Genomic DNA, 13491 nt, shown 5'->3' with positions numbered 1-13491 from the left:
TTCAAAACTTATGACAATGCTACAGTAATCAAGACACTGTTACTCACTTAGGGATAAACATATAGGTCAATGGAATAGAATTAGAAGTCCCAAAGGAAACCTTAACATTTATGGTTAATTGATTTCCAATAAGGGTATCAAGGTAATTTAATGGGGAAATAATTCTCTATTCAACAAACGGTGCTGGGACAGTCAGACATCCATACGTAAAAAAAATTGAGTTAGGCCGGGCACGGGGGCTCACACCTGTAATCCCAGCACTTTGGGAAGCTGAGGCAGGTGTATCACAAGGTCAAGAGATCAAGACCATCCCAGCAACATGGTGAAACCACATCTCTACTAAAAAATACAAAAATTTTCTGGGCATGGTGGTGCACACCTGTAATCCCAGTTACTCAGGAGGCTGAGGCAGAAGAATCGCTTGAACCTGGGAGGTGGAGGTTGCAGTGAGCTGAGATCGCGCCTTTGCACTCCAGCCTGGCAAAAGAACGAGACTCTATCTCAAAAAAAAAAAAAAAAAAAAAAAAGAATTGAGTTGGACATATGCGTACACCACATACAAAAATTACCTTCGAATAGATCACAGTCATACATGTAAGAGCTAAAACCATAAACATAGAAGTAAATATTAATGACCGTGGGTTAAGCATAGCCTTGTCAGATACAACACTCAAAGCATAAGCAACAGCAACAACAACAAAAATAGGTAAATGTTTTTGTTGTTTCCAGAGACACCATCAAAAAAATGAGAAGGCAATCACTGATTGAGATAAAATATTTACAAATTATAAAGCCAATAAAACCAATAAAAGACTTCTATCCACTGACATTGTTACTGTTGAAAAGTCACTTGTCAATTTGTTTTGGTTTTGATTTTGTTAACGGAATATCTCATTTCTTAATATTTGAAATTTGTCTATATTTTTTCTTTTTTGCACTTTTACTGTGATGCTTCTTGGTATATATTTATTTTTATTTACCCTGTTTGGGTTTGCATTTGTTGAATCTATAGATTATTATCTTTCATTAGCACTGTAAAATTGTAAATCATTATTTCTTTAAAATATTATTTTTGTTCCATTCTCTGTCATAACAATTAAATATATGTTATATCTTTATTACTGCATCATTTATATTCCTTCATCTTCTAATTGCTATTCTTTTTCCACTCTGCTAAATTCTGCTTTTTTCTTTAAACCAATCTTAGAATACTAATTATCTCTTTATCAGTCTAATTATTTCTAATCTATCAATTGTGTTGTTAAATACTGCATTTATCATTTTTAAAAATTTCCACTATTTTTTACATTATTCAATTGTCTGCTAACTTTCCTAATTTTACATTTTATCTTCTGGCACATAGTAAATATAGCTATTTTGCAGTCTATGCCAGTAATCTCAAATCTTCGGTGGTTCTCTTTCTATAGTTTACAGTTTAGGGTGATTGGTGTCCATATTGTATTATTCCTTTGTGTTTTGTAGTTTATGATAGTGTGTCAAGCATTACATATGAAACATTTTTCAATTAATTTGAGGTCTGAAATGATATTATCTTCCATATAAGATTTAATTGATTTTGAAAGTCAGTGTTGGGCACAATCCCTTCCAGATCAACAAATCAAATGTCACAGTTTCAGCTGACAATAGCTGAGCTGTAGTCCATGAAGGGACCTATTCCAATTCACCATTATTCCTAGGACACAGCCCAAACCTAACATGAGGGGTTCACTTGAGTGCTTCTATTTTCTCGTATGATCTGGGGAGTATCATATTTCTTCTTAATCCTGAAGTGTTGAGAAAATCACCACTTAGCCTCCCTGCCTCTTAGCTTCCACCTCAGGGTTTGGCTTCCTCCACAATGAAAAAAAAATAAAAACAAGAAACCCAAATGTCAGGCTTAACTGCTTAGACAGAATTCCACTCTCTTCAACATTTTCCTAAGATTCTTTCTTATTTCTTTAGATTTCTTTAAATGTCTTCAGGCATTTAAAAAATAACTTGTAGAGCTTTTCTAATTGTCTGGGTAAAATATGATCAAAAGTAGACAATATAGGATTTACATATTAGATGAATTATTGCAATTATAAAGTATAAATTTGAAACTAATTATACATAAAGCGTGTAGAATATTTGGTGTACCATTTGGAGTCTAGAGGATTCAAAATTGTGATGGTTACTTATATGTGTCAGCTTGGCTGAGCCATGGTGCCCAGATATTTGGTCAAACATTATTCTGGATGTTTCTGTGAAGATTTATTTTTGCAGGAGATCAGCATTTAATAGGTGGACTTTGAGTAATGCACTCACAATGTGGGTGAGCTTTATCTAATCCGCTGAAGGCCTTAACAGAACAAAGACTGACTTCCCCCAATAAGAAGGAATTCTGTCAGCAGGCTGCAACTGTTCTCCGATTCTCCAGCCTGCCAGACTACCCCATCATAATTTGGATTTTCCAAGCCTGTGTAATACAATTACATAGCCATTTCCTTAAAATCTCTCTCTCTCTCTCTACATATATATATATATATATATATATATATATATATATACACACACACACACATATATATACACACAAATACATATATGTATATGTATGTATATATGTGTATATATACACACACACATATATATTTAATGTATGTGTGTATAGCACATATACATATTATATATATAACAGGTGTATATTACATATATATTACAAAGACACATCCTATTGCTTCTTTTTCTCTGAAGAACCACAACTACTGCAAAAATATAATTAAATCTTGAGAAGGCAGATTCAGATACAGATGGTGGACAGACATTAGCTAATTAAACATTTTTTCCCAATGATGAGAAAAAAATGGGGTCTCTTTAATTAATAAGATTGGTAAATGGATGAAGAGTAAAAAAAGCATAAGTCTAGAGCTACTCTTGCTTAGGGGCTACATTTCCAGGAATATATGGGCCACACTTATCTCTTTAAGCTGCTAATTAAGGAAATTCAGTAAATGAAGTTTTACGTTAGACTTTAATACTATTTCCAGTTCCCTAAAATGCTCCGTGATTTAATTCTACTCTCTAGGAAACAACTCTTTAAAAAATAAAACAGTAAAACTGCAATGACTGTTTTAAAGGCTCTCCTATTATTTTGGACTGTAAATAAATTTTAATATCTTTGTAGATCTTGATTGTGTACAAGATGAGAGACACAGCTTCTTTCATTGACAGAGTTTGTGTTCTTTAAAAAGCAAACACATAATTGACAATGGAAATTCTAAAAATGGCAAATGCAATATTTAACAACACAATTGATGGATTTAGAAATACTTAGACTTCGATGAAGAAAGAATGCCAGTCATTAGAAAATTGTTGCTTAAAAAAATAAATGTAAGCTGAATAAAGGAGAACATTTTGCTTTAATATCTTCAAGACATTTAGTAACTAAATTATGGTGCGTATTGTGTTATAAAGAACAATATGTTAGCACTGCATAGTTGATTAAACTTGGATGTTACTAGCCCTGTGGCCATTTTTTAAATGGTGTTAAACATTCTTCACTGTTTCACAGGGTAAGTGTAAAATGAGGGTAAGATGAAATGATATAGCTTTGAAAAACTAACGTGCATAACGGATGCTATCTTTATAAAATAATGGTAGTGAATGCTTAACAAATGAAAATATTTGATTTATTGTAAAAACATAATAAACAACTATGAGTAAGCTAAGAACTTTCCTCGGGTAGTTAGTGCCCTGTAGTGAATAGATGATAATTAGATTTGTTTTTAAAGCAGTTACATTTTGGGTCCCATGGCATACCTCCACAAAGCCACAGGAGAGAGAAATGGTGTATTTTACCTATGTCACATCCAGTCTCAGTGGCAGAGCAACAAAGATAACTAAGAACTATATTCATACCAGATAGGAGTACTACACGGTAAAAAATGTTGTTATTTGATTGTTTTCTGGTCAAGAAAAATGGCATTAAAATACTTGACCACTTTAAAACATAATTTATATGAAATGTATCATGCATTTAAATAAACTATATATGTATAAATATATGTGTAGATGTTTATAATGTACATATGTCAGATGGAGAATAATTTATGAACTTTGTACGCAACACCCAACTTACGAAACTGGCATTATTAGTACTCAAGATTTGCCATATCTTTACTTTTTGTTTTAGATTTGCCTTACATTTACAAATCTCCCCAGCATATAACATTCTATTTTTGTTTATTTTTTACTTTTTATGTAAGTAGAAAAAATACATATTCCTTTGTGAATGTACGTTTTACTTTTCCTGTGGACATTCACCCAGGTTGATAAGTGAAAGTGGAATTCATTCAGTGTAAATGTTGTATACTGTTATCTTATATGTCATTTTTACTTTTAATTATTTAAGACATTTGAGTTGATTCAGTTTTTTTTTCCGATTAAAGCCACACTGCTTTCGCGTTGTATGTATTTGTCACAGTGCATACATGTAAGAGTTTCTCCATGATATGTACCAAAGAGTAAAATTACTGAGATTAAATAATGGATTATTATCTTCAGCTTTACAAGACAACTCTAAATTGCTTTCTAATGTGATTTCCCAAGTATAGTCATACACTCCCATTAGTAGTGTATATAAGTAGTCCTAAATCTTTCAACATATAAAAGCACATCCTCATCAACACATGAAAGATTCAGATAGTTTAATTTTTACCAAGTTGGTGGGCATAATTTTTTTCTCCTTATGTTTTGAATTTCTATGCCTCCAATTACAATGTGACTCACATGTTGATTTACATAATAGCTTTTTCCTCCGTGGAGGTTCTGTTCCTGCATTTTTGTTTTTTTATTAGGTTGATTTTTTTCATCTCATTGGATACTATGAGTATTGTATGTTCTAGATACTAATCCTTTGCCAGTTATTTGTAGTACAAACATTATCTCCTGATTAATGTTTATATATAGTAATTTAGGCTTCTGCAAACTTTTAGATTTTTTTTTTGTTGAAATCGTTTCTTTATTTAGCATCTTTAGACATCTACACCCCCTTTGAAACTATAAAGATATTTTTATATTGCCTTTTAATAGCTTTGAATTTCTCTCTTTCATATCAACAACTTTCATCTCCCTGGAATTAATTTTTGTACTGTGTTACAGAAAAATTATTCAGCAATGCTTGTTAAAGCACAGTAAGGAAGACTGTATTCAAGACCACTGCAATAGGCATAGGGGCCACTGTGAGGGGGTCTTGCAGTATGGAAGAGAGATTGACCTCAACTGCAAATGCAGCCTAGGCAAGTGGGGATTTATAGACAAGGAGCAATGTGGGGGTCAGTGGTTGGAAAATTACTAAGGAGAAGCATCAGGGGTAAGGGAGATTACAGCTAAAACAACTAAACAGAATTCTTGCTTAAGACAGGCCTTGGTGATCAAACATCACCTAGGAAATGGTGGAGGATGAGGAACCTGATCAGATACTAAGAATGATCAGATATTGAGGATGAGGGTTTCTTGCTAAAGTGACTTAGCAGGATTCTTTGCTAAAACTAGATTTTATAAGATGTGCACAGATGGGCCTAATAGAAAGTTTAGAAGCCTGATTAAAGTTTGGCTAAGCAAATTATCTTGGTCAATTGTGAAATAATAGAACCGACTCTTTTTTTAATATATAAACACTGTCCCAATACAATTTGTCAAAACTTCATTAATTACCTTTGATATAGAGAATCATCTCTATATTAGTTTTTCAAAAATACATGTGATTTTGCTTTGTGGACTTCCTATTTTGTTCCATTTTTCTATTAATCTACCACGAGTCAATATTGTTTTAGTTATTATATTTTTTATCACGTTGACATTGTTTGAAAACAATCTTTTCACCTTGCTTTCTTTCTTCAGAATAACCTTGCCTATTATTAGCTCCTTTCCTTTTTCTGCTAATTTTAGAATCGTCCTATCATCTTCTATTTTTAAAATATATGTATTTTTGGTGTTTTAACTGGAAATACGTTGAATATTGAGATCATTTTGGAGAGAATGACATCTTTATATTAATGACTTCCTATCCATAAACATGTTAAGTTTCTCAAACTTTTTAGATATTTGTTTTTTTTTCAAAAACTGTATACTTTCCTACATAATGTTCTTACACATTTGTGTGTTTTAATCCTAATATGTTATATTTTGTTGCAAGAATAAATATTTTCTTTTAGAATTAAGTTTTTATAAATCTGTAGGTTTTATATGAAAATGTCACTAGATTTAATTATTGTAGTTGTGTCTAGGAATATTTCTAGACCCTCTTACTAGTTCTAATAATTTTTCTATACAGTCTGTTGATTTTTACATGTGTTGATATATGTAAAAATGTATATTAACTCTGGAGAACTAGGGTCTTTTTATTATCTTATTAATTTTCTTATTTTCTTCTTTTTTCTTCTTGACTTTCTGCACTAGGTAGGGTATTTCTACCTAAATGAAGTCCTCAGACTAGCACATTGTCATCACTGTGGAGGTCGCTAGAAATACAGAATCTCATGCACATTCAGGTGAACTGAATCAGAATGTGAAATTTGAAAATATCCCTAGGTGATCCATGTGCTTATTAAAGTATAGGAAGCACAAGAATATCCAGAATAATTTTGAATAGAAATGATCATGATAGGCACATGGATTTTATAAGGAATGTATTGATGTTTCATCGTAGAATATAACATTTCTTGTATGTTTTGCCTCCAGATAGTCTTATCCTTACAATAGGTAGTTAGACATGAGCAGCGCAGGAGAGCCCCCCACCTCCCCACCCCACCAGGAATGCCCCTGCCTCTGGTGCCTCTATTGCTACTCTGACTTCAACTTTTACTACTCTCTTCCTTACTTATGCCCCTTCAACTACAGTAGCCTCATTGGTGAACTAGCACCATATCAGAAATTCTCTGCCTCAGGGCCTTTGTATTTGTTCTCTCTTTCTTACTGCTGAAACTGGCATTTCCACAAGAATTTGAATGTCTCTTCTTCATCAATATTTGCTCTTTACTCCAATATTTTTATTTTCATGGATTTTCTTCCATATAAAATATGGTCTTTCTATTTAAAATTGCCCCATTACTCACCCAGGACCTTTCTATTACCCCTTCTATTTTAGTTTCCTATATATCACTTATTATCATCTGACATATAATGTTTTTTAACTTAAAGTATGTTTGTCTCCCTCTGTAAATGCTAAGTTGCACCAGTGCCCAGAGGAATGCTTAGCACATAGCAGGACCCCAATAAATTCTTGTTGACTGAATGAAAGAAGTCAATGGCACAATGAGGAAGGAGTAGTATATATGCGTGAGTCCATGCTGTTGAAGGGCTCAGGGCAGCCTTTCTTCATCCCTACTAAGACCATGTTATGAGTCTTTCCTACGGACTCTCACGGTACCCTTCAATTTGTCCTTAGCTAGAACTTGCCATTTGCTTTTTTTTTTTCTGCCTGTTTAATTTTAAGCTACTTGATGTAAAGGAACATGTCATGTTAATCTGTGTACCTGTAGAATCAGTTCTCAATAGGTATTTATTGAATGCATGGATCTACTAGATAATAGCAGATAAAATAAGAAAAGAAGGCAATTACTCTGCTGCTAATTAGGTTTAGGAAAATAGTTAAACATAAATGATCCTGCCTGGTTTCAAAGGAGTTTTTTAGCAACCCTCTCAATACTGACTTAGAAAATCATAGATAATAGATTAAACCATAAATCATAGATAATCTTACATAAACAGTAGAGTGTTCCTAGCATTTCCTGAGCCAGACATTTTGGGTTTAAATTTTCATTCCACTATGAACCAGCTGGTGTTCCTTGGTGAAGATACCGAAACTCTCTGTTCCTTAGTTTCCTCATTGTTACAATCGGGGTGATAATAGTAACTTATCTGTTAAAGTACTAAACAAATTACCAGATTTAAAGCACTTAGAATAGGGTCTTGGACATAGCAAACACTCAATAAATCCTGGCATTATTATTATTGTTGCTGTTATCAGTAGCACTTTTATTAATAGATCATGTATTTCCTTTTTGAGTAATTTAAAACACTTTGTCAAGTCCTATTCCAACCCCAGCACTACCTATAATAAAATATTCCTACCACATGGGGTGTAGGAAAAAGGCATACGAATAATAAAGAATGAAAGAAAAAGAAACCAAAGCAAAGTGGCTTGCCATGAAAAATAAGGGCTCATCCTGGAGCAGAATTATCCATTGAGCCTGAACCCAGGTTCTTCGGTCTATCAATAAATATTTCCTAATTCCAAGTCCCCAAGGTACAGGATTAACATTTTTGATCTTTCTTTAGGGCATAAATTAGTCCATAGAAATGTGTTTCCAGTCAAGTTAATATCTGACTCTTTATATGGGTTAAATTTGATTTTCTATCTTGGGAAGCTCTGGTTTCCAAATTAGATCTTCTCTCTTATTTTAGGCTGCTTAAAAGGTTAAAAATCAAATTAAAACTTGTTTAATTAATTTAAGTTGGTTTTAGTAGTCATATGTATATCAAAGTGAACAAGGGCAATCATATTAGTACTATTTATAATTCCAGGCCACTGCATGGCAGAAGACAAGATATAATTTAATCTAGCTCAATTTGGAGCAAACCAAACTCCTCTCTGGGCTTTTGTTCAAACCCCTAGGAAACTGATACAAAAATCCATCATTTAAAAATAAAGCTCAGTATGTAAGAATGTCAAAGATTTTGAATCATTAATTGTGAAACGTATCTGGGTGCTTACTTTTGTCCCCTTAATCCTCAGATTAAATGGCATTCTACAAATAATGACACAGAATACAATAAGATTAACAGGTCGTCTCTGGTGTTAACTGTCACAGATGTTTAAGACTAAAGGTTAAGGGTATGAATCCTCCTCACAGAATAGTAAGTGAGTCTGTGTGGTATGACAGAAAATTCAGAGCTAAGAATAAAAACCTGAATCTATGCACTGAGTCTGTCATGCTGCAAGCAAGCTATTTTATCTCTCCATGTTTGTTTTCCTTTTTGAATAATAGGACTAAATTATGCCTGCTTGTTTGGATTAAGTTACGGAATATGAGAAAAGACCTAGGATGATGCCAGACAAATGTATTAATTGGACTATTATTATTAACTAAACATAAATCTGATGCTCCCACTAACACTATCATACTACTCAAAAGATTTGCTGTGGTTTGAATGTGTTTTCTCCAAAACGCAGGTGTTGCCAATATGATGGATAAGAGGTGGGATCTTTAAGAGGTGATTAGGTCATGAGGTCTCATTCCTTGTGAATGGGATTAGGTGGCCTTATAAAGGGGTTTGATTGAAGGAGTTGTCTCCCTTTGTTGCCCTTCCACCTTCTACCATGGTAGAATATAGCATTTCTCCCCTGCAGAGTTTGCAGCGTCCTCAGTACCATCTTGGATGTAGACCGTACCGTAACCAGACATGGAACCTGCTGGTGCCTTGAACTATATCCCAGCTTCTGTAACTGTGAGAAATAAATTCCTATTCTTTATACTTTGCCAGTTTCAGATATTCTGTTAAAACAGCACAAAAAATGTACTAAGACAGAAATTGGTACTGAGTAGAATGGTGAGAGTGGATCCTGAGGGAAATCAGCGTTGTCTTTCTTGGCAGTTGCCTCAGGGGAGACCATTACCATTTTCTCAGGCAGTGCAGTATGAGGGCCAATATCACTGTGGGTAGGGGTGCCCCTGCCTCTGGGGTGAGGGAGACAAAAAAGACTCATCCAAATGTAGGAGTCCAATATCCTTAGCTTCAATAGGGTCTACCCACACATCTCCATCCCAATTTGCAAGATTCCATTATTTCCCAATCAATGTTGTCACTTCAGCAGTAGATACTTTGCAAGGCCGGAAGTTCAACTTTTATTGTAATTCAGTCAATTACATGATGAGGATTTGTGTTTGACTTTTTTCAGCAATTTTAGCCCTGTGGCTAGAGGAGGGAAAATTCTCCTTCAGGAAGTACTTAGAAGCTTTTAGGCTATTTATAAGTATGTGAAGACAGGAATTTGAATCTCTGAGATCATTCTCTAATTACTTTGTCCAATGACAATAGGAGCAACCAACCAACATCATATTTCTTAGTTGTCCAAAAATGTTTGAAAGTATCCCATATAGTTACTAAGTTTCTTGCCTCGTATAAGTGGTTAATTAGGAGTATCTAGTGCAGCTATTTTGCATATCTCTATAAACAGTTCATGCCATAGACTATCTGTGCTCTCTGTACTATTGGAAGTAGAATTCTTAGTATGTTTAAATCCAATCAGATTAAAGGACCAATTTGAGAAACCTGAAAAACAATTAAGGAAACTCATCCTGAAAATTCTGTTTCTCTGGAGCCACTCTCAGTACAAAAATCTATTTTAGTCAGTGTTCTCCGGAGAGGCACAAACAATAGGAGGTATATTATATATACCTGAGAATCCAGGGAATCACTGGTGTGAGTCCAACAGCGGGAGAACCTGGGGTTTCAAAGTCCAAAGGCAAAAGAAGGGCATCCCAGTTCTAGAAGCAGGAGAAAGAGAGAGAGAGAGCAGTAATTGGCTCTTTCTCCTTTTTGTTCCATCCAGGTCCCCAGCCAATTGCATGGTGCACATCCACCAAGAAAAGATTGAAAACAGAGTCTTCCCCACTCAGTCCAACAACTCACATACCAGTCTCCTCCAGAAACACTCTCACGGACACACCTGAAACAGCCCACTAATTCTAATCAGATGTCAAACCATCTTGTTTCCCTTTCAACAGAAGAGGGATATGCTCAGTGTCTACTGAAGCACTGAGAATAATACAATGATTGAGAATAATCCTTTACCAGCTATCTGGGTATCCCTTAATTCAGCCAAGTTGACGCCCAAAATCAACTATTACAAGATACCATTATAACTCTGTCCCAAACATTGAGTGTTAAGTCAGCAGCTAATGACTGAGGTATTATAATAGGAGAAGAAAAAAAATACTCTGATCTCCTATTTTAAAAATTATCTTTCACCTATAAGCAATGCATTCTCTTAAATATAATTATCATCTAGCGATTCTTAAAGCGCATACTGCAACACTAGTGCTGCTTCTGTAAAAGGAATAAACATAGAACCCACTTCAGACATTGGAACAAGATTCATAATGAAGATATATTTCATAATAGGATGATGCTGCTCATTAAAAAACACTCTATCAAGTTCTACTTCATTCTCAGAACTGCCTCCAATAATACTCAGATTATATTTACAATTCCAGGTGAAAATATCCCTTGCAAACTTAATGATTATCTAACAAATACTCTAACAACATGGATGATAGTTCATCATGGACAAAAGAAATCCATTCCAAGGCTAGACACCATAGGACTATCCAAAAGGAACAAATGAGAGAACTACTCATCGGTGAAGGATGACTGGAGGTGCCAGGAAGTAATCTTCAGTGATTAAATAGGAGAGCCTCTTCTAACACAGCAGGTAAGGCATAAATAGAGTCAGAGTAGACTGATGTTACAGATGAGGGTCAGTGATTATGGACCACACCTAAAAGAAACTGAGGACCTCTTCATATGTGCAGTATCTCCTATGCCCCTTTACCTTAAGACAGATTTAAAGCACCCTTCAATTGGATATTCAGTATAAAAATGATTAAATGATAGGAACTATACTTTGCATTTATCTTCAAAATACTAATCTCAAACTGAGAGGTTTCCTAGTCAGAATCTTTCAGAGTTCACACATTTTTTTTGCCTTTACACCTTTTAATGCAGCTGCTTCCAAATACAACTTTTAGACTAAAATATATTTACTCAATTCTGTATTTGTGAACATTTAGCTTATTTCCAGTTTTTAAATTTTATAAACAACCTTATCATGAACTACTAATTATATTATTGAAAAAAATGAAACCTCAATGTGTAACATTTTAACTTGCTTGTTCAACTCTCTCTGACTGCTATTACCTAGCCACCACTGATCTATTTACTGTCTCTATCACTTCACCTTTTCCAGAATGTCATAGTGTTGGAATCATACAGTTTGTATTCTTTTCAGATTGGCTTCTTTAATTTAGTAATATACATTGAGCTTCTTCCATATATTTTCATGGCTTGATAGCTCATTTATTTTTGATGCTGAATAGTCTGCCACTGTCTGGATATACCACAGATTATTTACTCACCTACAGAGGAACATCTTGATTGCTTCTAAGTTTGGCAATTATGAATAAAGCTGCTATATTTATTAAAACTTGTGAACATTTGGGTAAATATCAATGAGCACAAATGCTGGATTATATGGTAAGAGCATGTTAGTTTATAAAAAATTGTTAAACTGTCTTCCAAAGTGACTGTACCATTTTACATTCCTAGCAACAATGAATGAGAGCTTCTGTTACTCCGTATTCTTGCCAGCATTTGGTGTTGCCAGTGTTCTGAATTTTGGGTATTCTAATAGGTGTGCAGTATCATCTCATTGTCTTACTTTGCAGTTCTCTAATGACATAGTATGGGAAGCATCTATTAATATGCATATATGCCATGTATATATCTTCTTTGGTGAGGTGTTTCTTCAGATCTTTAGCTTATTTTTAATCAGGTTGTTAGTTTTCTTGTTGTTGAATTTTAAGAGTTCTTTGTATATTTTTGGATAACAATAATTTTTCAGATGTCTTTTACAACTATTTCTCCCCATCTGTGGCTTCTCTTTTTACACTCTTGATGTGTCTTTTGTAGAGAAGACGTTTCTAATTTCCATGAAGTCAGCTTCTCAATTATTTCTCTGATGGATCATGCCTTTGGTGTTATATTTTACATATCATTGTCATGCCCAAGGTCATCTATGTTTTCTCTGCTATTTTCTATGAATGTTGTAGTTTTTCATTTTACATTTAAATCTGTAATCTATTTTGAATTAATTTTTGTGAAGGGCATGAGATCTGTCTAGAGATTCACTTTCTTACATGTGCATATCCACTTGTTAAAGCAGAATTTCTGGAAAAGACTCTCCTCCATTGCATTGCCTCTGTAGACTTGTCGAAATCAGCTGATTATATTTATATGTATTTTTTTCTGGGCTCTTTATACTGTTCGATTGATCTATTTGTCTATTCTTTCTTAATACCATACTATCTTGATTACTATAGCTCTGTAGTCAATTTTCTATCCTTTCATTGTCACTTCACATTCTAGGACACCAAAAATTTAAATATCTATGGTGCCTCCTATGTCATGTAATCTTTACTCACTCTTTTTCACTGTTTTTTTATTATTATTTTTGTCTGACCATGTTACTTCAAAAGACCTATTTTCAACTTCTAAAATACTTTTTTTCTTCTTGACCTAGTCTATTATCAAAGTTATAAAATGCATTTTGTATTTCATTCAATGAATTCCTTCATTCCAGAATTTCTTTTGAGTTCTTTTTGATGATATCTATCTCTTTGGTAAGTTTCTCATTCATATCCTGAAATGTTTTTCTGTTTTTGTTTT

General features: G+C 33.9%; 1 long non-coding RNA gene across 5 annotated transcripts in view; it reads left to right on the top strand.

Annotated features, from left to right (window-relative positions):
* Window positions 1–13491, top strand: part of LOC105374497 (uncharacterized) — a 291527-nt gene that overhangs the window by 65243 nt on the left and 212793 nt on the right. The window contains exon 1 of one of the 5 annotated variants that reach the window (XR_001739422.1): window positions 9972–11479. The exons of the other annotated variants lie outside the window; for them this stretch is intronic. This is a non-coding gene — a long non-coding RNA (uncharacterized LOC105374497). Of the gene's footprint in view, window positions 1–9971; window positions 11480–13491 lie in introns of those variants that run through there. 5 annotated transcript variants of the gene reach the window in all.

This window comes from Homo sapiens, chromosome 2, assembly GCF_000001405.40.
Source record: "Homo sapiens chromosome 2, GRCh38.p14 Primary Assembly".
NCBI lineage: Eukaryota > Metazoa > Chordata > Mammalia > Primates > Hominidae > Homo > Homo sapiens.
The sequence above is the reverse complement of the archived record's forward strand: the minus strand, read 5'-3'. Positions and strand labels throughout refer to the sequence as shown.